General features: G+C 36.2%; 1 protein-coding gene and 1 pseudogene across 1 annotated transcript; both read left to right on the plus strand.

Moving 5' to 3' along the window:
- OR52N3P (olfactory receptor family 52 subfamily N member 3 pseudogene) lies at positions 4,920-5,877 on the plus strand (annotated as a pseudogene).
- OR52N2 (olfactory receptor family 52 subfamily N member 2) lies at positions 13,480-26,039 on the plus strand. The gene is made up of 2 exons (NM_001005174.3): positions 13,480-13,610; positions 24,838-26,039. Exon 2 carries the CDS (start codon positions 24,892-24,894, stop codon positions 25,855-25,857), a length of 966 nt encoding a protein of 321 aa, NP_001005174.1. The 5' UTR covers positions 13,480-13,610; positions 24,838-24,891; the 3' UTR covers positions 25,858-26,039.
- Positions 26,040-26,287: the final 248 nt, after the last annotated feature.

A 26,287-nucleotide genomic window follows, 5' to 3' on the forward strand; every position in this document is an offset into this window, starting at 1 on the left:
GACTTTACTGGAGGAAATCACTAAAGATGTGATGTAAATAGCAAAAGAAATAGAATTGAAAACGAAACCTGATAATGTGACTGAATTGCTGCAATCTCATGATAAAACATGAATAATGTGGAGTTGATTTTTGTGGATGAGCAAAGAAAATGGTTCCTTGAGATGGAATCTACTCTTGGTGAAGATGTTGTGAACATCGTTGAAATGACAACAAAGGATTTTGAATATTACCTGGATTTAGTTGAGAAAGCAGTAGTATGGTTTGAGAGGATTAACTCTGAAAGCTGCTTCACTGTGGGTAAAATGCTATCAAATAGCATTACATACCACAGGCAAATCTTTCATGAAAGTAAAAGTCAATCAATGGGGCAACATTTATTGTCCTATTTTAAGAAATTGCCACAATCACTCCAAACTTCAGCAACCACCACCCTAAGTAGTCAACAGCAGTCAAAGACTCTCCACCAGCAAAAAGATTATGGCTCACGGAAGGCTCAGATAATCGCTAGCGTTTTTTAGCAATAGCATATTTTTAAAAAGGTCTATATATTTTTTAGGCATAATGCTATTGTATACTTAATAGACCATGGTATAGTGTAAACATACATTTTATGTGCACTGAGAAACCCAAAATTCATGTGACTCACGTTATTGCAGTGGTCTGAAACCAAATCTGTGCTATGTCTAAGGTATGCCTGTATTATAACCAGATAAATAGACTTCATTTTAATTTCTCACACCTATTCATAAGTATATTATTATATATGCATAGCATTTATAAGCAGATATACCTGCTTAATACAGTTTTAATTCAGAAAACAAACAAAAAGCAAAAAAAAAAACCGAAGTAAGGATATTTTTCAAAGATTTTCTGACTTGAGGAACTTTGTAGCAGAGTCTAGGACTTGAAGCATTACCTAGCATCTGATAGCTTACTATTTATTTAAGTATTATTTTAAAAATGCTATTAATATTGTAACTCAGCAAGTTTTAAAAGGAAAGCTGACATCTATGTTTTTCATTTATTAGCTATCTGCTCTGGAATAAAGCTACACACCACCATATTGTTAATAATTGAAGACTCACTCTGGGCTGAAGCTCTATGGCATAGAGCTTATTTTATGTGTTTCGGTAAGCGAGCTGGCTCACTGAAAAAGAAAAAAGGACCTACATTTGTGGGGATTCTGTCCATCGTAGCTGCTTGTGCTAGAAGAAAGATGTGCCATTACATCATATTACTGTTTACCGTTTTCTCCTCTCCATAGACTGCATTCATTCTACAAACCCAAGGTATTAAATTGTGGTCACGATGTTCTTTGATTCCTTTCCAGACATCTGTCTACTTTGAGGATAATTTCAATCCCAGCCTTTGATGTTTCCTTAAACTTGATCAAGATGTACTAACGGGGATTGCAACAGAAAAGAATGCTATATTTCTACTGAAGTAAAGGGGAACAGTGATGGAGAGACAGTGCATTTAACAGTGTTAACCTTTCAAATAAAGACATAACTCAGCCTTATTGCAGAATATATATTTTAATGAGCCCCTAGCATAAAACATTCTGAAATTGTTTACTCAATATTTTTGAGAAAGCTTTAAAATACCCACATGGCACATGAATAAATATATAAAATGTTATGAAACTGGAATGGAACTGCCCTAGGGAGTCAGGTAAAATTCCAGGTTTATGATTCAATAGATGCTAGACACTTCACATGTCCCATCAATAATAAAATTTGAGATTTTTTTCTGTCAGGCATAGACATATTCTAATTATAGATCTATTTTCAACAAAGGTAAATTCACCTCCTTTTCAGAGACCTATGGGACATCTATCTGTAAAGCCCCAAAGAATTTTTTTACCTTGGCTTGGAAAATCCCCAGAGAAGATATTAAGTTTGTTACATAGGGTTCCTCATCAATATTGTGCAATTATTTCTAAGTAATATCAGTCATGAATGGGAATTTAAAAACATCTGGCACCAGGGTGAGTTTGGATGAAAATGGTTCAGATAAAAAGAAAACAAATATATAAAATGCACAAAATTGCTACTATATAGGAGGGATTTAAATGAGAGAGCAGTTGAATAAGGAAGTTCTGAATTACTTCACTCTTTAGAATTTTGAAACCAAGGAATTTGCAAATTGCCTTGAGGAGGGAGAAGAGGGAGAAAATTAAATGTAGTTTAGGTCCTGAAGGAAGGGGATTCCATGAGGCTGATGTGACAAGGACCAAAGAGATATAGGCAAGCATATTTCTATACAATAATAGAAAAACTTCTCTGCCCTCCATAGATGGAAGAGTATTCCTCAGGAAGCAGTAACATCTCTACCATTGAAAATGAATTAGTGTAAGAGTTAGGATGGAGGGTGGGAAGACGGAAAAGATCAGAAAAAATAACTAATGGGTACTAGACTTATTACCTGAGTGATGAAATAATCTCCACAACAAACCCCCATGACAAAAATTTAACTATGGAACAAACCTGCACTTGTATCCCTGAACTTAAAAGTTAAAAAAAAGAACACTTGGAAGAAATTCTAGTGATCATGTAGCCCAAGTTCTTGACGACATTAATGACATATGCCGTTTTCCCACTGCTTGATACCTCAGATGGCAGTGATCCCATTATCTTATTAGAAAATTTTATCTGTGTGAATGGGCAACATTCCTCAAAGCCAAATTTACATTTCTGTAACATTTTTCTATTTATAATATGTTTATTTTGGGGATATGCAAAATAATACAAAAGACAATTTGCATGCATCTACTACATGTACTCTTCCCAATTCTAAATATCTCCGATTTCATTAATTTTTAATTTTTGTAGATAAGATTAAGGACATCTTGAAACTTGAAATCATGTCTTCCTAATACGTTTTTATTTTTCAAAGTTTATTGTGACACTAATTTGTTAAGGTATTTATGTATAAGCAGGAGAACCATCCAAAAAGGAGATTTTAGAATTTATTCATCCATCCGTTCATTATACAGCTTGGGATGAACATAGCAGGCATTGATACTGCAAGTAGAAATATCTTTAATTGTACATGTTTGTTAAGCTTGAGAAAACTTCAGTAGGTATGGATGGACTGAGAGAATGAGAATTAGAATACTGGGAGATACATTCAGATATTTAAAAGAGCCCTAATTGTGTAGGATTTTGTAAACAAATATAAGGATGTTGGTGTTTGCTCTGAGTAAGACGGAAGTATCCAGGAGGTTTTAAGGGATGGCTGGATATAATTTTATTTTCACTTATTTTGTAGAGCGATATAATGATAATAATACTAACAATAATTGTGATAGTATTACGTATTTTTCTTATTATGTTCCAGGTTGTGCTGAAAAATTACATGGTTTACTTTACTTAACATTAAAAGTATTTTGCCTTAAAGCAAAATGCTTTAAAAATAATCAGTTCTATTTTTTATTGTTTTCTAGAAGGTTTTACTTTTATCTTTTTTATATACTGAGATTATTTATACAGCAACACTTGAAAAGATTTCCACTGATTAATGGTTAAAAAAAACTCTGTAGAAAACTCTAGGTTAAATCCCATCACAGCGATAGAGACAGACGGACACACACACACACACACACACACACACACACACACACAGAGAAAGAGAGAGAGAGAGAGAAGCAATCAAAATTAGAACTTTGAAGAAGGAGATTAACATATAACAGAAGATAATATAAAATAATTTGTTAAACTGCAATGATATGGAAAAATGAATAATTCAATTTGGTAATCTAAAGCAACCAATAACTGGGGAAATATTTTTAAAAAGAATGAAAGAAAGAAAGAAAGAAGGAAAGAAACAAAAGGTAAGACTATGGAGTCTCACTTTAATCAGAAAAGCTTACAAGGTTAGATTCATGTTTCAGACTTCAGAAGAAAGATGGAAAGCTAACCATTCTCAAAAACTGGACTAAAAAATTAGTAAAGATTTTATCCTACCCAATATAATTGTCTATAGTTATTTGGGGGCTAAAAATGATACATCAAAAGAAGGTATAAAATTATGATCATAGGTAATACATGTACTGTATATTAATAGTATATGTAAGCACACTTAAAGAGTGATATATATCATGGATTTATCATATGTATCATGCTTATATATATCATGCTTATCAACATAGAGATTTGAGGAGAGTTAACAAAAAGCATGAAAATTACGTAGAGCTTAATAATGTTATTAGCTAAATGCAAACATTTCAAAAATATTTCATGCTTACCATCAAGAAACCTGAAAGAATACAAAAAGAGACGAATACAAAATACACATGGCCATGATTTATAAATTGTAACTTATTATGTACCTTTTTGGCCCTTCCCATCTCTGTCCTTGATTTTTCTGACTTGGAAAATCCAGACCTGCCAGGTTTACACTTGTATATAGATCAAGCTGAATCATAATAGAAGTGCATAATTGGTAGGTGCTGACATAATTTGATTAACTATAACCCAGTGGACACATCTCAAAGTATTTCTTGAAAGAAGGGATAGTTTGTAGTGAATTAAGAAAATCAATGTTACTTAAATAGAGTTTATAATTTGGAAATTGGTTGAGGTTGCAAAGTCAAGCATTACTAAATGGCCCAGGAATGTAAGCAGACACATATAAACAGAGTTTCCAGTAGAAAACCAAGCCAGGCCAGGGCTTTGGCACTATGTTTACAATATGTTTTTATTCTGTTGGTTCAGTTACAGTCATAGGACCATTCAATAGAATCAAAAAACATAGTTTGGATACAAAATGATTATTTTTTCCTAAATTTATTATTTAGATTGTGAAAAATGCGTTTTTATATTTTTTTCTCTGGATGAAAATAATCTCACTACTCTCTCCTTATACAGGACAACTTTATTGGCACAAAAACTAGCATGTTTTGTAATTGGTGAGCATCATGAATGGAGCCAACAGCTCCAGCCTGACACCAAGATATTTCATTCTCAGTGGCGTTCCTGGGCTGGAAGCTGCACACATCTGGATCTCCCTGCCTTTCTGCTTCATGTACATCATTGTTGTTTTGGGGAACTGTGGACTTATATACCTCATTAGCCATGAGGAGGCCCTGCACCAACCCACCTACTACTTCCTAGACTTGCTGTCTCTTACAGATGTTACTGGATGCACCTCATTTGTTCCCAATATGTTATGTATTTTTTGGTTTGGCCTCAAGGAAATTGACTTTAATGCCTGCCTTGTGCAGATGTTTTTCATCCACATGCTGACAGGCATGGAGTCTGGGGCGCTCATGCTTATGGCTCTAGACCGCTATGTGGCCATTTGCTACCCTCTACACTATTCCACCATCTTCACCAACACTGTAATTACCAAAGTTGGGCTTGTCACCTTCATTCAAAGTGTGTTGCTTATGATTCCATTTGCTTTCCTGATCAAGTGTCTTCCCTATTGCAGGGGCAACCTCATCCACCACACCTATTTTAACATATGTCTGTGGCCAAATTATCCTGTGGTAATGTCCAGATTAATGCCATCTATGGTCTCATAGCTGCCATATTGATTGGGGGGTTTGACATGTTCTGTATCTCCATGTCTTACACCATGATTATCCGTGCTGTAGTGAATTTGTCATCTGCAGATGCTGCCACAAAGCCTTCAGTACCTGTACAGCACATATATGTGCTATTTTCATCACTTATGTCCCAGCCTTTTTCAACTTCTTCACTCACCGCTTTGGGGGACACACCATACCTCATCATGTTCACATTTTTATAGCCAACCTTTACCTGATGCTGCCTCCCACCTTAAATCCAATTGTCTATGGAGTGAAGACCAAGCAGATCCGTGAAGGAGTGATCAAATTGTTTTTTAGAGAGAAAGGTATTTTAAGTATGACATAAATCTATGATATAGAAGTCTGAATCAGCATAAAGATAAAGTTATAGAGGAAGAGAATAAATGTAAGATTCAAAAACTATGAACTCAGGAAAAAATGTGAATATTCTGCCATAAATTTTATTAAATAATCACAAAATGTTTAATTCAAGACTTCAATGTGATAAAAGACATAAAATAGACAAGACATAATTATACATTTTACAAAACTTAACTTTAGTTAGACCTGTCGAATGGACTGAATCTCAAATGTCCTGTTATCCTTTCTAGTCTATATTTATGTGAAACTTGTATAACTTTAGAGAAAAACATCTTTGCCTGCTCATTTATCTCTGACATCCTGCTGCCTGGGTAAGTATTTGGATTTATATGAATGCTCCAGTGCACACAAAAATGAAGCTGCAATAAATGTGGTTACTAGAGTGATAACGATTGGGGAAATACTCTTTGCAGTTAATGTCAAGAACAATTTTGAAAGATTCAATGGATACTACTTGAGAGTTGTTTGAGGACAGGAGAGATGTAGAGGAAAGAAGACTTGAAGAAATCTATATACTTTGCCAATCAAAGATGTCTGGGCTTGACTGACTGATCTGAGTTTCATGTAGATGGAGAAGCAGCAGAGTGGTCAAGGACAATGGAGAAAGTAGTACAGTTGGCCCTCCTTATATGTGGGTTCTGCACCCTGGGATTCAACCAGCTGCAGATCAAAAATACTTGGAAAAAAATAATACAACCATAAAAATGATAGAAACAAATAATACAATATAACAACTGTTTACATAGAATTCACATTGCATTAGGTATCATAAGTAATCTAGAAATGATTTAAAATACACAAAAGGATGTGTGTAGGTTATATAAAAACACCACACCATTTTATATAAAGGACTTGATCATCCACAGATTTTATTATGGGTCGTGTCCTGTAACCACTCCCTCATGAATACTGTGGGAACACTATACTTTATTTAGATTTCTGGAAATAGCAGAGATAAAGTGCATGGTAGTATTAGAAGGATAAATGTATTTAGTAATAGCAAGATTGAATTAAACGTGAGAAAAATATTAAGAACATAATCCAAGAGAAAATTGAAGTAATAGACTGTGATCACAAAATAAATATAAATGGATAAGCAGGTCAAGATGTTATATTGATGAAAATTATATTCTTATTTGCTAATATAAATGATATATTTTAATATCATGTTATATATAGTCAAATAGCAAAATAGTAAAATAGATTAATCACACCATATATTTTTGCAATAAGATTTTCATATCTGGGAGTAAAACCTGAGTTTTATTTTTTAAAAAAGCTAAAATTATGAAGTGTCTCTATGTAATGTAAATCATAAGCTTATCAATAGTAAAGTTTTTATATCTCAGAATTAGGTTTTTTCATTTGGTAAAGTTTGTTTATCAGGTAACTTCATTTAAGCCATTCAAAACACTACCAAACAGATCAATAAATTACTTTTCCTAAATTGTTGTTTTAAAACATATACATGGTCTAATATTATAATAATGTTTCATATTTATTATTTCACCAAACTTTTACTTCAAAACTATGAGATAGGTATAATTGTCTGCATTACATAAATGAAGAATATAAGGTACACAAGTGGAAAGACTGGATGAATCTTAGAATATTACAATTAAAATTTGAAAACAATAATGTTAATAGACCTATGCTGGGGTTGGGGGAAGAAACAACAGCAAGAGCAACAAAGTAAAACAAGAATATATCCTTAAAATCTGGATAAGTAAAATGCAATAAATAAGATGTATTTGAGGCAATGAGTAACAATCGCAAATTAATTTTGTTATCTTCATCATTACAAATTCAAAAGTATGTTTCATGAAAAGAAAAAAGACTCTGAAAACTAAGACTCAAAATTGAATTACAGCCAGCAGGGCAATATCTTTGAGAAATTTCAAAAAGAAGTATAAGTTTGATGGCCATAGAACAAAATTCTACTTAGTATTCATGGGAGAAGAGACAGAGAGATAGATAGAGGTAGACATAGAGATAGAGATGGAGATAGAGATAAAGATAGAGATAGAGACAGAGATGATAGAGATAGAGAGAGATGGGAGAGAGAGACAGACAGACAGATAGGGAAGAGGGAAGGAAATAAAAGGGAAGCAGGGGGAAACCAAGAGGACTGGGAAAGATAGTGGAAAACATTTTATTTTAAGTTGCATCTTGTGCCCTAGAGACCAAGTGTTGGGTGGCAGAGATCAGCAGGCTTTCTGAAACAGACCCCAATATTTCTACATCAACTTCACACAGTTACATTAGATCTAGAACCAAGGTATCAAAGAACTCACATTGAGATTTCAATTTGTTAAACCATGTTTCCTTTTCAAACTCTAAGAGATATATTAATATTCCCAAAGGAAAGGAAGAAAAAGAAAATGACAAAGTGATACAAAGTATAAGGAAGATTATCTTGTTTTTACAGAATCTCCAGAACCACTTGGTCAATCATTTCAGATGGGCCACATGTGCAGAGATAAAGAAAATGGAGCAAAATAACAATACAGGTGGGAGGACACAAAATACAGCAAATATTCCACAGGAACTGCTTCTGCTCACAAATCTCTACTAACAGTTATGTTTCGTGTTTTACTAAACTGGCAAAATTAAGCCAAAAATATAACTAATATCTTATCTCACTCTTTCCCTGAGTTCTGTCTCTTTCAAATTAATGACAAATGTGCTTTCCCTTAAATTAAAAAAAACTATAGATATAGCTTGTTGTTGGGTATAAAAATATTCTGGGAATAAATGCTCGGTGCCACAAAGTGAAACCCGCACTCAGGCAAAAGTTATCTTAGCAAGGCAATTTACTTCTGCAGAAGGGTGCCACTCACATCAATCAAGATCACAAGAGCACAGGGAACAAAGGAGAGCAGCGAAGTTCTCTCTCTAATGGTAGTTTCTACTTCTGTGTCACTCCCCCATGGGCCGGGGTCAGACCGCACAGTCTGAGCTAACCTGATTTGTTACTTGCAGATATCTTTCTAAATATGGAAGGGAAGGGGGACTTGAGGTACAGTGGTGAGGCCTGTGAGATGTGCAGTTTCGGGGGAACAGTGGGTGCAGATAACTAAGGGAACAGACGTGAGTTATTGATTAGAGCTGATGGGAAGCAGGTAGGCTGTTTTACAGTAACTAGGGACAAGGGGGAACAGGAAAGTTGAGTTTGAGAACAAAAGACAAGGAAGTTAGCAGGCTAAATCTTTGAAGAGGAACTCAGAGAAATTCATTGTATCTTACAATTCCCCCCTTTTAATTTTCTTATGATTCTTTCTCTTCAAACGTTTTTAACATGTCTTGGCTTTGCCATTCGATTTGATCTTCTAAAAGGAAAAGCTTACTTGAATAAGGTGGAGGAGAACTAAGGGAGGCTTTAGTAAGTGCTGTTTGTACAGTCCTTTGTATTAGCCTATGGATGCGTGGTATGACATAACACCTAACAAGAAAGAGTACACTTATTACAATTGCAAGAGAAATAAGAATTAAGGCTATGATTCTTTTCCGTTTACTGAACTACTTTCTTAGCCATCCTGAAATAGGGTCAGTGACTAGAATTTTTAGCTAGTTTATTGGATAAAGTGGTAAGTCTTTGTAAGGCCTTTTTTATGCTCCTATCGGGGGCAGTGTTGTTTGGGATTAAGGTAAAACATTGGGTTTTAATCATAACACAAACCTCACCTTTTTGGCTAATAACATGTCTAGTGCTATTCTGTTTTCTTAAGCTCTTTGGTTAGTAGGCTTTAATTGGTCAGCTATTCCTTTGATGGCATCCCTGGTGTAATTAATAAACTGCTGCTGATTATAATGGATGTAATTTATCTAAGCTACATTTTTATTAATAGTTACTTGTGGAAATATGGATTCAAATTCTGCAGCTATTTGGTCTCGGGCTTTGAACCTGTCAGGCACTCCTCGTGGGACACTAATGGCATCTATGTAAACTTGAGAGTTAAAAGACTTATAAGGGGCTTCTCTTATTTTTCAGTGTTGTGGTTTTTCTTTTTCTGGTTGATGAAATTCTACAGTGAAAGGGATAGCCAACTGGACAAAAGCACAAGTGCCGCTCCCATTACTTGGCAGAGTGTCCGTTAAGGGTGTACTGCAACACCACCATCTATCCTCTGAAGGATGACTAAGGGCAGACTGATGGGTAAGCTCTTGGAAGGGCCTAAGCTTGCTGCAACGTGTTAAGCTTCCAAGGAATGCCAAGTTCTCCCCATGTTGTGAGAGACATGAGGTGAAATTGACGTCAGGAGGTGGAAGCTGAATGGCCCTCGGGGGCTGACCTCCAGGGTGTTGGACTTCAGGATATAGCAGAGAGAGAGCTTGGCATGATTTGTTGCCTTAGGCTGTGGAATCTTGGAAAACAGCTACTATACAGCCCATGTCTGGTCGACTGAGGGACTATCCTAGCGGAAAGGAGACAATCTGGGCCTCTGGTCTGCTGTGCACACAAGAATAACAATTGCTTTTATTCAAAGTGCGGACAGAATATTGAATCCATCCCAACTAAGCATTTATATCTTGATACCTTGTTTCAATTGCTAGAGTTTGTCTTAGATCCTTCACTTCTACAATATTTACTTTGGCATTGTTGTTGGGCAGGGTAGAAAGTTTAGAAGGTGAAGGAGGGTCAATAAAGCGTATTTTAAAGAGGCCTACAGGGTCGTATCCATTGGCCTCTGCCCCTAAGCCGTAAAAGCCTTCTAAAGGAAGCGTATGGTTGGTAGAGGTAGCAGCATTAATAGAGATAGTTACTGGGTTACAATGGTAAAGTTGGCAATTAGAGGGGGTGGTTCATTTGGTAAGGAGGAGGTAAGATTTTAGGTTGGTACAGCCTTCTGGGGAGGTCTCGCCGTGTTCATTGGCAGTCAGGATGACATCTGCTCATTGAGAACGTATCTCCTAACTTAAGGTGCCTTGGTACCCCCACCATGAGCAAGGTGTGAGGTCAGTGGTTTCTCTGAAGGGGCAGAGGTGTTTTTCTAAAGGAGAGACATACCTTTGCCATTGTTCGTCCTCTTCACAAGGCATAACAAGGCAAGCCTCAAAGGTAATGATTTGGGATGAGTCTGACTTAGTTACATTGATAATAAGGTCAGCAATAGAATGAGGAAAGAAGAAAGGGTAATAGAATAGATAAAAGAGAGTTAAACTTTCCTTAACTTTAGTTTGAGGGGTTTTTTCCCTTGAATAATGGTCCATGACTTTGGGGATGGTGGTGCTTTCTTGACTCGGGTATGATGGGTCCATCTTTTCTTGCTGTTTGGACTGCAGTTTCAGTGGTTTGAAGCACTAGGCCAGCTCCTCAGGCTGGTGTCAATATACTGGGAACTTTAGGGGTGGCACCTGTACCGGAAAATTTTGAGTTCTGAGGGAAGAGAAAGTGGAAGATAAACCAAGTATGTAGGAATGTTGGCAGTAGATTGTTTTGGGAGGTAGTTTGGACTTACTAGGGTAATAGGAAGATAGAAGACATTTCATCTATGGCAACCAAGTCTCTAGACTTGTTTGGCTAAGGGTATAAATTCCTAAACACATATAAACTTTGACTGTGTTATACATCGCTTGGGGTCTTTAATGGGTAATGTTTTTCTGAGTTCCCTTTAGTGCCTACAGGAGAAACAGCAGCCTGTTCGGCTTATCTGATTTGCTAGGTTATTTTAAAAGACAGGCTTTTCTGGTGCTTGGGGACATGGACAATAGATACTTGGGTGATTAACTCCTCATGAACAAGGCTTTGACTTTTACTATTAATCCAGTCTGAAATTTGCTAAATGTATTAGCCACTGTAAAGGCATATTTAGAATTAGTACAGATGGTTCTTTCCTGGTCCTGCAGGTAATTTAAAGCTTGACTAAGTGCAGACAGCTTATAAATTTCTCTAGGAACTTCTTTATTAATTACTGAACACCTGTTGCGTTCTTTTTCCCTTAATCATTCCTGAAGAGGGTTTCTTCTAAGTTTGGCCGAACGTTTGTAATCAGTTAAATCTAAACACGTGTGCTTTCTTTTTAGCTTTGGATATCTCATTAAGAAACTTGCTAGATTAAGCGAATTATCAGTCATTAATGTTAAACTATACTTTTAAACTCGTACTTATACACATGTAATACTTTTCTGGTGGTACATTTTAATATAAGTGACTTTAAATAATCAAAGTCTTTTCTGGTGGATATTTTCACTTTTAATACTGGCCTGACCCATAATAAATGCTAGCGGATATATCAGCTGAAAGATTATCTACTACTTGTTCAGGAAACTTAGCCGCGGGGATGCCTAGCTGCTTGGAGCCGCATCTGAAGCCTGTATTACTTGACCCTGGCAAAAGTAAGGCATATGTCCCATAATGTAGTCTGCTTAGGCATAGGCTGCGGCAGAGCATGGGCTTTTTCTGCTGTGGGGGCGCACTAGAGGCTGCACGACAACGACAACATGTTGAGGCAGATCCTTGATGTCGCTAGCCTGTCAAAAGCCACCTGGCGAATGAGGAGCTTGGATTCCTTTCACAGAGGAGGACTTAGGCTGGGCCTGAGGGGAAGGGTTGGGGGTATTAGATGGGGGACTAGGGGCATTAGGTAAAGGATGGTCCAGGGAATCCTATGTGCTGTTTTCTTTGCTAGGATCCTCTGAGAACCCTCCTTCACTGTCTCCACAGTAGGGGCAGGTGCATAAGGGAAAGGGAGGACAGGTCTTTGCCTCCAAAAAAGAGCATAGTCCAGTTCTTCTTGAGAAACTGGGCTTTTATTATTTACATGTTAAACTGAAAGTTGACATAGTATATCCTCAGTTGACCCAAACTTTGGCCAGAAGATTGACGGATTGAGGTTAGGTCTTTGAGTCCAAATAGAAAAGCAATATTTTATCATTTGTTGCTTTTTCTTATGTTTAGTTCTTTCATTATCTTCCCAACATTTTAGCATGAGACTTAGGGGACTATCAGGTGGTATATCTTTGTTACTATTCATATCCTTTTTCATGAGACTTAGGGGACTATCAGGTGGTATATATCTTTGTTACTATTCTTACCATTTTTGCTTGTAATATTTCCCATATTGGGTCTTGGCTAGGCGCAATCTCTCATATTAGGAATTTCTTGCCTAACGGGGCATTGCTGTGGCTCAACCCCATCATATTAGGGATTTCTCGCCTATTTGGCGAGGGATTCCTTGTGGCTCAACCCCTTGTGTTAGGGGACCTCTTGCCTATCCTTCACTGGAATCGTAACTGAGGCTCAATTCGCCTATCCTTTAGCCCCACCTGCTGGAGGCTCTTTGCATCCTTTCGCTTTGTCCACTCTGGCCGCTTCCCTCGTGGGAATATTTCAGGTTCCTCTTAGCCTTGATGGCGGGTCAGCATAAACCCCTGATGGGACCCCCATATGAGGTGACCACAGAACCACAGATTGGACTCATTCATTCTGCGCAGCAGGAGCGCTTGCTACCATTCACGCACTTTCAACCTCCAGAATGCCCCGACCCACGGCCCCCAACCACCAAGGAAGTACTTTGTCGCCCCTGTGACGTTTCCTACCTTGATCTGTGCACAGAGTTTACCTGGTCACCGCGGTATTGCAAGCCTCTCCTCCTCGCGTTGCTGAGAGTCCGAGTTTATTCATCACAATGGGTGGGTCCCGATCTCCCCTCCCTGAGACTACCGCAACGGGGCATTGGAATGCGTCTCCCCTGGGTAGGATGACTGAAGATCCCTTTCTGAAGGAGAGTGGGGATCCCAGATGAGCCCCCAGAGTTGTTGGGTGTAAAAATGCTCTAGGAATAAATGCTCAGTGCCGCAAAGTGAAACCAACACTTAGGCAAAAGTTCTCTTAGCAAGGCAATTTACTTCTGTAGAAGGGTGCCACTCGCATCAATCAAGATCACAAGAGCACAGGGAAGGAAGGAGAGCAGGGAGCTTTTATCTCTGACAGTTTCTACTTCTGTGTCACTCCCCCATGGGCTGGGGTCCCCCATGGGCTGTGTCACTCCCCCATGGGCTGAGCTGACCAGATTGGCTACTTGCAAATATCTTTCTAAATATGGAAGGGAAGGGGAACACGGGGTACAGTGGTGAGGCATGTGAGATGTGCAGTTTCCGGGGAACAATGAGTCCAGGTAACTACGGGAACAGATGTGAGTTATTGATTAGAGCTGATGGGAAGCGGTAGGCTGTTTTACAGTAACTAAGGAAAAGGAAAGTTGAGTTTGAGAACAAAAGACCAGGAAGTTAGCGGCTAAATCTTTGAAGAGGAACTCAGAGAAAATTATTGTATCTTACATTGTCTTTCAAAAAAAAAAAAAAAGTAAAGCTATTTTCAAAGCAGTTCTATAAAAAAGCTGAAAAATGATTACCATTGCCCAAGGATAGTTTCACTATTCTGTGGGCTAATTAAAGACAAGAAATTTAAATGTGTCCCAGAGATTCTGGCACATTGTGTCTTTGTTCTCATTGATTTCAAAGAACATCTTTATTTCTGCCTTCCTTTTGTTATTTACCCAGTAGTCATGCAGGAGAGGCTATCACAATCTGAATTTAGTACAAGAAGATACTGTATTATGAGAAAGAACAAATAGCAGTAAGTTTAAGGAAAGGAAGAGAGATTTGGGAAAACGGTATAATTAATTATTCTACACTTATTACTTCAAGTATAAGGACTTCATTTAGAACAACATTCTTCTTGTCATAACTCATTCCTCTGAGTGGGAGAAGCATCAGATATCAGTGAGCTATGGGTGAGCTATATGCTGAGCCTTGACGCTTCACAGAAGTCAATCTCCCTGCCTGAATAGGCCACGCATTCTGGTCTGTCCACATTAGCAAAGTCAGTGGCCAAGCTTTCCGAAAGAGACTTGTATGTGTCTATGCTAGGGACTGGATGAGCAAGCTAGTCTAAATCAGAGGCAAGGCAGAACAAGGTATTTTGCCTGAAAAATCTAAAGCCTCATTTTCCCAGATGTATATCATAAAATTGTTGACATTCTCTGTCAACTCCTTGTCTCCTGTGTGTCTCAGCTCTGAACTGAGGAGGAAAGTACAAGGTTGTATTAAGAGGCCCTCAAAAATCCCAAAACATTTTAAAATGGAATTATGATGGAAAGATAAATAAATAAGGTAGGGGAAAAGTCAAATGAAGCAAAAACGCAAAGGAATGTGTTATAAGTATGAGATGTAATGTCACAAATTACAAATACCAGAAAAGACTTTCAGAAGGAACAAATGCTCAAGGTGGTACAGAAGATAAGCTGGTGTTAACATTGTGGAAGGGGGATGGGAGGTAAGAACTGTTTAAGGAAGAGGAAATGGCCGGCATGGAGGTTTTGAGGAATGAATGTGCCACACATGAAGGGACTGAAAACAAGATTAAGTGGGCTCAAATCAGGGGCCAGTTCTATCTGAGTTTATAGTACACAATCTTTTTTTTTAACCTAATATGTTACCTTTTTGTTGTTTTGTTATTGTTGTTTTGCTTCATACTAAACCTAGAGCCCTATGCCTATGATGTCAGGTAATTTCATAGAGTCATTTTTGGGTTTATGGTAAGAACAAGAGAGACAATGAAAAGGTTTAAGAAGATGAATGATAAAAGCTTTCTACTTGGAGATAAAAATTTTTTTATTGTAATACAGAAAGTTGAGAAAATAATTTTTGAAAAAACTATTGGCAAAAGTGGCTAAACACAAAATATATTAAAATATTTATAAAATATGATATATAAATATAATTTAAACTTTGGCCACCTGTTTTATTCTTGATATGTAAGATTTAATATAAAAATGAAATTCAAAAGCTAAGAGAGTGTATTACTACCAGACCTGCCTTACAAGAAATGCTAAAGCTGAAAAAACAGGATGCTGATTAGTGACATGAAAACGTATGAAAGAATAAAAGTCACTGGCAAAAGTAAGTACATAGTGAAACTCTGAATAATACTGTTATGGTGGTATATAAATCACCTATATCATTAATATGAATGTTAAAAGACAAAATTAATTTAAAAAATAGACAGCTACAATAGTTTGTTAAGGGATATACAATATAAAAAGAAGTAAATGTGACATCAGAAACATAAAATATCAGGGAGAGTTGAGTAGAAGTATGGAACTTCTTTATGCAATTGAAGTTGTTATCAGCCTAAAATAGCCTTTTATAAATATAGAATGTTTTATGTAAGACTTGAGGTAACCACAAAGCAAAAACCTATAGTAGATGCACAAAATATAGAAAGTAAAGAACGAAAGCACACTATTAGAGAAAATTATCTATCACAAAAGAAGACAACAAGAGAAAAAGAAGGGAAGAAAGAATGTAAAAAACAACAAGAAAACAACAAAATGGCTGTAGTAAGTCCTTACTTATCAATAATTACCTTGAAAGCAAAATGATTAAATTCTTCAATCAGAAGACATAGATTTGCTGAATGAATTAAAAATAGAAGACCCAACTATTTGCTGCCTGTGAGGGCATCACTTCACCTCTAAAGACACACACACAGGTTGAAAGCAAAGGAATGGAAAAAGATATTTTGGGCAAATATAAGGCAAAAGAGTTCAGAAGTAGCTATATGTATATTGGCTAAAATAGCATTTAAATCAAAAACTGTTAAGGCAGGAACAGAAAATCAAACACTGCATGTTCTCACTCATAAGTGGGAATTGAACAATGAGAACACATGGACATAGAGAGGGAAACAACACACACCAAGGCCTGTTGGGGGTTGGGGGTTGAGGGGAGGGAACTTAAAGGATGGGTCAATAGGTACAGCAAACCACCATGGCACACGTATACCTATGTGACAAACCTGCACATTCTGCACACGTATCCTGTTTTTTACTTTGAGAAGAAATGAGGAGGGTCGGGCAAGGTGGCTCACACCTGTAATCCCAGCACTTTGGGAGGCCGAGGCAGGCGGATCACGAGGTCAGGAGATCTAGACCATCCTGGCTAACACGGTGAAACCCTGTATCTACTAAAAAATACAAAAAATTAGCTGGGCATGGTGGCGGGCGCCTATAGTCCCAGCTACTCAGGAGGCTGAGGCAGGAGAATGGCGTGAACCCAGGAGGCGGAGCTTGCAGTGAGCCGAGATCCTGCCACTGCACTCCAGCCTGTGTGACAGAGCGAGACTCCATCTCAAAAAAAAAAAAAAAAAAGAAATGAGGAAAAACAAAAATTTAAAATAGTGTAAAGGTAATTATATATTGATACAGAGGGCAATTAATCAAGCACATTAACCATTGTAAATATATATGTCTGTAATATCACAGCACCTAAATATATAAAGAAAATATTAATAGAGCTGAAGGGAGAGATAGACTGCAATAAAATAATAGTAGGGGATGTCAACACCGCATTTTCAACAATGAAAAGATCACCCAGATAGATAATCAACAAGGAAACACTGGACTTGAACTATACTTCAGACCAAATCAGTTATATTTTAGGCTGGAAAACAAGTCTTAAAAAATTTAAATTTTAAATAAAAATTTAAAGACTGAAATCATATCAAATATATTTTTCTATCACAATTATATAAAACTAGAAGCCAATAATAAGAGGAAGTTTGAAAAATTTACAAATACATGAAAATTACACTCCTGAAAAACCAATGGATCAAAAATTAAATAAAAGGGGAAACTAAATAATATATTGGTACTAATGGAGATGTAAGCACAACAAAGGAAATCTCATGAGATGCTATGAAAGCAGTTCTACAAGGAAAGTTCATAGCAAGAAACACCTACATCAAAAAAATAATAAAGATCTCAAATAAATAATCTAATGTTATATTTCAAGGAACTAGAAAAAGCTTAACCCATGTAATTAGAAGGCAGGTAATGATAAAGATCAGATCAGAAATAAATGAAATAGAAATTATAAAAAAAAAGTAAAAAGATTCAAATGAAATAAAATTAGAAATGAAAAAAGAGGCATTACAACTGAATCCAAAGAAATCCAAAGGGTCATAAGAGACTACTACAAACAATTATATGCCAACAAACTGGATAACTTACAAGAAATGGATAAATTCCTTGGCACTTACAACTTACAGAAAGTCAATAAGGAAACATTGGACCTGAACTGCACTTACAACTTACCAATACTAAATCATAAAGAAATAGAATATCTAAACAAACCAAAGATAAGTAAAACAATTGAATCAGTAATAAAAAATCTCCCATCAAAAAAAATAAAAAAAATCCAGGACATGGAGGCTTCACTGCTGAATTCTACCGAACATTTAAAGGGGAATTAATACCAAGTATTTTCAAATTCTTCCAAAAAGTGAAAGAGAAGGGAATACTTCCAAACTCATTTTAATAAGCCAGCATTACATTGACATCCGCCAGACAAGGACAACAAAAAAGAAAACAATAGGCCAATATCCTGTTAAACAGATGCAAAAATCCTCAACAAATTCTAGTGAACCGAATCAACAGCACAGTAAAAGGATCATTCACCATGATCACTTGGGCTTTATCACCGGAATACAAGGATGTTTCAACACACACAAATCAATAAATGCAACACACCTCATTAACAGAATGAATGACAAAAATATATGATCATTTCAATAAATGCAGAAAAAGCATTTGACACAATTCAACCTCCTTTCATGATGAAAACTTTTATCAAGTTAGATATTAAAGAAGTGTACCTCAACACAAGTATCAGAAGCCCACAGCTAACATCATACTCAGTGGTGAAAAGTTGAAAGCTTTTCCTCTGAAATTAGACAAGACATAGGTATCCTCTTTCACCACTTCTATTCAACATAGTACTGAAAGTCCTAGCCAGAGCAATTAGGCAAGGACAAGAAATAAAAGGCCTCTCAATTGAAAAAGAAGAAGTAAAATTATCTTTGTTCACCGTTGAAATGATCTACTATGTAGAAAACCCTAAAGATTCCACAAAACTTGTTAAAATAATAAATGAGCAAGGTAACAAGATACGAAGTCAGAATGCAAAAATCAGTTGCCTTTTTATACGTTAACAACAATCTGAAAAGAAATTTAGAAAAAACAATTCACAATAGCACATAAAATAATAAAATACATAAGAAAATACAAAATACATAATAAAATTATATTTTATTTTTAATTCCATTGTAAATTAAATTATTTTCCTAATTTCCTTTCAGATTGTTTGTTATTAATGCAAAAGCAAGAAACTTATATAATTAAAACTGTAAAATATTGCCGAAATAAATTAAAGAAGACATTAATAAATGGAAATACATGCCATGTTCAAGGGGTGGACGATAGTATTGTTAGGATGTCAGTACAACCCAAAGTAATCTACAGATTTAGTAAAATCCCTATCAAAATCCCAATAATTAATTTTGCAGAAATAGAAAAATCCATTCTACAATTCATATGAAATCTCAAGGGACCCTACATAGCCAAAGCAATCTTGAACAAAGAGAAAAGCTGGAGGACTCACATTTCTGATTTCAAAACTTATGACAAAGTGACAGTAAACCAAAACAGTGTGGCACTAGCACAAAGTCAGAACTGCAGACCAATGAAGTAGAACAGAGAGCCCAGAGTGAACCCTCACATATGTGGTAAAGTTACTTTTGACAAGAGTGTCAATATCATTCAATGTTGAAAGGACATTCTTTACAATAAATAGTGCTGAGAAAACTGGGTATCTACATGTACAGAAATGAAGTTGGACTGTTACATAACAGCATGTCCAAATATTAACTCAAAATGGATCAAAGACGTAAAAATAAAACCTAAAATTATGAAACTCTTGGAAGAAAACAAAGAGAAAAAATTTTATGACATTGGATTTGGTAATGATTTCTTGGAAATGACACTAAAGGCACAGGCACAGGAAACAAAAGAAAAAAACAGATAAATTAGACTTTATGAAATTTGTTTTTAAATTGTGCATCAAAAGATTCTATAAACAAAGTAAAAAGGCAACCCACAGACCAGAAGAAAATATTTATAAATTATATATCTGATAGGTATTAATATCCAAAATATATATAGAGCTCCTAAACCTCAACAACAACAACAAACAGCTTAATAAGAAATGGGCAAAGGATTAGAATAGACATTTCTCCAAAGAAGATATACAAATGGATAATAAACACATAAAAGACACTGGACATCAGTAATCATTAGGGAACTGCAAATTAAAACTACAATAAAAAACCACCTTACACCAATTAGGATGGCTACTATAAAAATAAACAGAAAATAATAAATGTCAGTGAGAATGTAGAGAAATTGGACACTTGTGCCCTTTTGGCAAAAATGTAAAATGCTACAGCTGCGGTGGAAAACAGTATGGTAGTTCCTCAAAAAATTAAAACTAAAAATAGCATATGATTCAGCAATCTCACTATTGCGTGAGATCCCCAGGAGAATTGAAATCAGTATGTTGAAGAGGTGTCTGCAGTCACACGTTCATTGCAGCATTATTCACAGTAACCAAGATATAAGAACAATCTAATTGCCCATCAATGGATGAATGAATAATGGATAAGCAAAATGTAGTATGTATGTGTATGTGTGTATATACATGTGTGTATATACGTGTGTATATATACATTATATATGTATATATATATGTATGTGTGTATATACCTGTACATATAATGCAATATTACTCAGACTTAAAAAGGAAGAACATTCTGACATCTGCTACCACATAGATGAAACTTAGGACATTATGCTAAATAAAATATGCCTGTCACAAAAAGACAAATATCATATGATTCCATTTATATAAAGTACCTAGAAAGGTCAAAATCATTAGACAGCAGAAAGAATAGTGGTTGCCAGAGGCTGGTGGGAGGGCAAATGGAGAGTTATTGTTTAATGGGTGTAGAGTTTCAGTTTGACAGGATGAAAAGAGTTCTGGAGATGGAGAGTGGTGATGGCTGCAAAACATGATGAATGTATTTAATGCCACTGAACTGTATATACCTGAACATGATTAAGATGGCAAACTTTGTTATGTATATTTTACTACACTACAAAAAGAATGAATCGGGCATGTCAATAACTAAACCAAACACAATACAAATATTTATGAGCAAAGTGATAAATTATAGGGCACCCTATGAACTTTCTTTTTAAAGAACTGCATAGGAGGTCTTCATGCAGTTGAGTGTAAACAGTGCGGAGGCCATGTATGGTCTCCAATTTAGGAAGCCTGATCTAAATCTTCTTTTTTTGAGAGACACGGTCTCACTCTGTCACCCAGGCTGGAGTGCAGTAGAGTTATCTCAGCTCACTGCAACCTCTGCCTCCCAGGCTCAAGCGACCCTCCCATCTCAGCCTCCCGAGTTGCTGGGACTACAGGCTTGCACTACCACGCCTGGCTAATCTTTGTATTTTTAGTGGAGACGGGTTTCACCATATTGTCCAGGCAGGTCTCAAACTCTTGGGCCCCCCAAAGTGCTGGGATTATAGGTGTGAGCCACTGCGCCTGACCTCCTGATCTAAATCCAACCAATGTTTCATACCAATTCTCATTTTTCTACATTTTTAGATCTAAAAGAGAAGAGTTTACACTGAAACTCATATATGTATTTTTGTAATAGCTGCATTAATTTAAATTTTGACAAAATAATTTTGTGTGTATTCTATTGTTTTATAAACACAACTAAATTTTTCATTTAAATGAAAGTTTTGTTTCCAAGGAGTCGCAGGAATCTTTATACACCTGTATGTAATATTGCTAATGCTGAAAGCTAAACAAAACAACAAAAGGAATACATTAATTTTTTAAATACTTATAAAAGAAATTTCTGGAAATACATACATCAGACTTTAGGTTTTAATAGCATTTACTTCAGAAGTGGATTAAGGTGAAATGTGAGTTTATGGGAATGTTATGACTATTTTCTACTTCATATCATTTCATACAAAAGAGTTTAAGTATAGAAAAATTGTGTTTTGTGGGGTTTTTTAGTAAAAAGGAAGAAAGGTCAAAATATACAATTACTTTCCACTATAATATAAAATTTAAAACCAATACTACCTTGAAAAAAAAGTTTGCAAATACAACAGACAATGGGTTGATAATTTTCATTTTGAAAGTGCTTATCATGCAATGAATAAACACTAACACCTCCAATGAAGATGGACAAGGAGGTGGATGACTAATAAATATACAAAAAAAGTTGACCAAGAACGCTTGAAAAAAGTGACATACTTACTACTAGTGAAGTTAATTTTAATTCAATTTAAAATACAAGTGAGACAGTATTTGCACTAGTGAAGCTTGGGAAAGAAGGTATATAATAGTATTCTTGGGGGCATGGTTCAGTCGCTTTGCATGGAAATGAACATCACCACAGATTTTATTGAAATGATTTTTTCTAACGTTTATCAACACAATTAAAATTGTGCATGCCTTTTGAGCCCATAAACTTCAATAACATTTCTATCTATCGGTAGAGAAGAAAAATCAGAAATGCATACAGAGTGGATTAAGATATTCATTGAGGAATTATATTTGATAGAAAAATTTGGAAACAAATATTCAAGAGTAATAAAACACATGATTAAATTTGGTACAGCTATTGGATGGAAAGAAGGTCTAGCTATTAAACTTTTTAATTCAAAGCATATACAATGTCATGATGAAATGTGCACAAAATAATACTAGCTGGAGATAGAAACAATGTATACAACTCCATATCATCTGCAATTTACTTTTTTGAAATATCGGAATATTATACATAATAATTATAAAGTGATTGAATTAAGCACAGAAAACTTTTTAGAGGGCTTATTCCTCTGTTTTAGAATTACAAGTGATTTTCAACTCTTTATTATACTTTTCCATAGTTTCCAAATTTTCTATATTAAAGACATACTTCTCTTGTTGTAAGAGGAAAAAAAAAGTTTTAAAAAATTATGTTTTTCATGACCAGACTTGGTGACCATATTTCCCACTTGGGAAAAGGCATTAAACTTTCTCTACTCAAAAGCTGCTAAATATACATCTATTACCAGCAGGCCCAAAGTTCACTCTCTTTTAAACAGAACCCACGGAGACACCTAATTGTGGAGACTAAATCAGCCTGGGGCATCTTGTTGGAAATTCCCCAGGGAAACAAAAAATTTTATGTAAGAAGATGTCATCCTAGATTTCAAACAACTCCTAAAGATTCTCAGCCATGCACAGAGATTTGATTGTGCCTAGCACTGAGGTGAGATTGGTCAATTTTCATAAATCCCTATTTTAGGAAAGGGTAAAGACATTTTTGGCAAAGAATGCAACAGCCTGATACACTGAAACAGTTTTAAAAAGTAATAGCAGTAAGGGGCAATGTTTTTTACTTTCTCTTTCACTTCTTAAGAGGTAATGGCTCTTTTTCTTTCTGGGTGGCTTCCACTGGACTTAATCTTATTTTCTTTTCATTCCATTCATTTCAATGTGGTGTACACATAAAAGATGGTAGACACTAGAAATTTTAATCTTTAAGTTTGTCTTGTCTAAGAACATAAAATGATGGTTTCTTGAAACAGTGACATTCTGGAGAGGTACTGTGAGAACTTCCTTATAAGAAGGGATTATTTATATGAGATCCAGTCAGGTAGTATTCAGAGATCACGAGCTTCTGAAACATGTGGTTGCTTTACATTTCCCTCCATCATTGGAAATTTCCATGTACTCTAGCCAGTGGACATGACAACTGCAGTGATTTCTAGAATGTTTCGGTCACAGAACTCTAAGCCTTGTGGATTCACAACCATGTAATCCATGCCATCACACTGCAAATGTATATCTATTTCTGCTAGATAGTGAGGAATGTTTGGCATTGGCTTTGCTCCATGGGGTCTACTACAGAACTTAAGGATTAGGGTTTTATTCCGAATAAAAAAAAAATTGAATAATTAGGACACTTCAACTTTCTTCAAACACCCCTGAAGCTATAAATTCCTTCAAATACTATTCAATTCTTTCTACTGCTCCATCAAGAAATAGCAATCCAAAGATGTGGTGCTATTTTTTAATTGACTTCCTTTCAGTTATAACAAAAATAATACTAAATTAAAGCAGTACAAACAGTCAATAATCCCAGAACTTCAAGGGCTTTTTGAGTGTAAATTTAGTATTGAGAATGGATAGGGAACTTGTGAAAAGATAGAGAAGCCAAATTTTATACCTAATTGAATTTAGATCTTTAGCAAAATCACTACTAAACTTACGTAAAACTTGTTAATGATTTAGAATTGTAAATATCTTCCTGTTTCTTGTCAAGAACTTCCTTTCAAATTCCATGGTATAGAAAAACATGATTTTGACATCAGATAGAGTTTGAGTATCAGACATACCAAATTCTTAACTCATGTATTCACTCATTCACATATATTTTATTATCTACTATGTATTATCTTGAGTAAGTTATGTGGGACATTACTGACATCTTATATATAGAATACAAGCATTTTTTGTTATCAAGGCAGGGGAAAAGTGCTAATATTTGAGATATTGTTAAAAACGGAAAGTTAAGCTACTGATAAGAACTGGTCATATTAGGGTGATGCTGTAATTATACCCATGTGATTTCAGTGACAAGACTCAGGTACAATTAGAATGGGAAGATTCTGAGAGCACAGAATAGAAATGGACTTATTGAAGGAGGAAGACAGTTACAGCCTAACTCACAATTTGTTATCAGAATGTAGTACAGTATAAGAGTTGTGCTGGGGAGAGGTGTGGTAAGTGAGGATAGTTAATCAAAGTTTGCAATGGCACATTGAGTAGTGGTAAGACTGTACTGCTTAGTGACTTTGGACACTGTAGTTCAAAGTCTTTCTTGCTATAGTTGGAAGAAAGAATTTCTGGTTATCAATGTAAGGTGAATGTACATGGCACTTGAGGTTCACTTTGTCCAAACCAGTACCTCTTATCTCGTCTCTAACTCTCCCTCTCCCTCTCCTAGGCAGAAAGCAATGGCTGCTAAAGAGTATAAAATGCTCTCCTCCTGTCAGCCATCATGTCTGGGGACAACAGCTCCAGCCTGACCCCAGGATTCTTTATCTTGAATGGCGTTCCTGGGCTGGAAGCCACACACATCTGGATCTCCCTGCCATTCTGCTTTATGTACATCATTGCTGTCGTGGGGAACTGTGGGCTCATCTGCCTCATCAGCCATGAGGAGGCCCTGCACCGGCCCATGTACTACTTCCTGGCCCTGCTCTCCTTCACTGATGTCACCTTGTGCACCACCATGGTACCTAATATGCTGTGCATATTCTGGTTCAACCTCAAGGAGATTGACTTTAACGCCTGCCTGGCCCAGATGTTTTTTGTCCATATGCTGACAGGGATGGAGTCTGGGGTGCTCATGCTCATGGCCCTGGACCGCTATGTGGCCATCTGCTACCCCTTACGCTATGCCACCATCCTTACCAACCCTGTCATCGCCAAGGCTGGTCTTGCCACCTTCTTGAGGAATGTGATGCTCATCATCCCATTCACTCTCCTCACCAAGCGCCTGCCCTATTGCCGGGGGAACTTCATCCCCCACACCTACTGTGACCATATGTCTGTGGCCAAGGTATCCTGTGGCAATTTCAAGGTCAATGCTATTTATGGTCTGATGGTTGCTCTCCTGATTGGTGTGTTTGATATCTGCTGTATCTCTGTATCTTACACTATGATTTTGCAGGCTGTTATGAGCCTGTCATCAGCAGATGCTCGTCACAAAGCCTTCAGCACCTGCACATCTCACATGTGTTCCATTGTGATCACCTATGTTGCTGCTTTTTTCACTTTTTTCACTCATCGTTTTGTAGGACACAATATCCCAAACCACATACACATCATCGTGGCCAACCTTTATCTGCTACTGCCTCCTACCATGAACCCAATTGTTTATGGAGTCAAGACCAAGCAGATTCAGGAAGGTGTAATTAAATTTTTACTTGGAGACAAGGTTAGTTTTACCTATGACAAATGAAACATAGAATAGACATATTGTTTCAGGTGGTGAGAAAATAATGGAGACAAAATTTCATAAAAGATGTGAATAAAATGGTATTAAAATCATGACATGTAATTTACCCATGTAACAAACTTGCACGTGTACCTAAAATAAAAATAGAAATAAAAAATCAAAATAAAGACATAAATTTGTAAGTCACCATAATATGTCAATTTTCTGAAGTCTCTGCAAGTTCTTGAATTTGTGTGTGTTGGGAGTGGGGGCAAGGATCTGCCAAAGCAGAGAATGCAAAATAAAGAAGTAATATACCCATTACTTAAAGAGTTGATGCTTTTCCTAAGCGTTTATAGACTCACATGTTTGTGAGACCAGAAAGGTAGTAAAATAAGGACAGCAGACCTGCTGACAATCCCTGCGTTGCGTGTAAGTGGGGAGGCTGTAGAGA

Source organism: Homo sapiens, chromosome 11, assembly GCF_000001405.40.
Source record: "Homo sapiens chromosome 11, GRCh38.p14 Primary Assembly".
NCBI lineage: Eukaryota > Metazoa > Chordata > Mammalia > Primates > Hominidae > Homo > Homo sapiens.

What these genes read in the sequence shown, in the direction of transcription:
- OR52N2 (NM_001005174.3), top strand. Translation starts at nt 24,892, where the DNA reads ATGTCTGGGGACAACAGCTCCAGCCTGACCCCAGGATTCTTTATCTTG.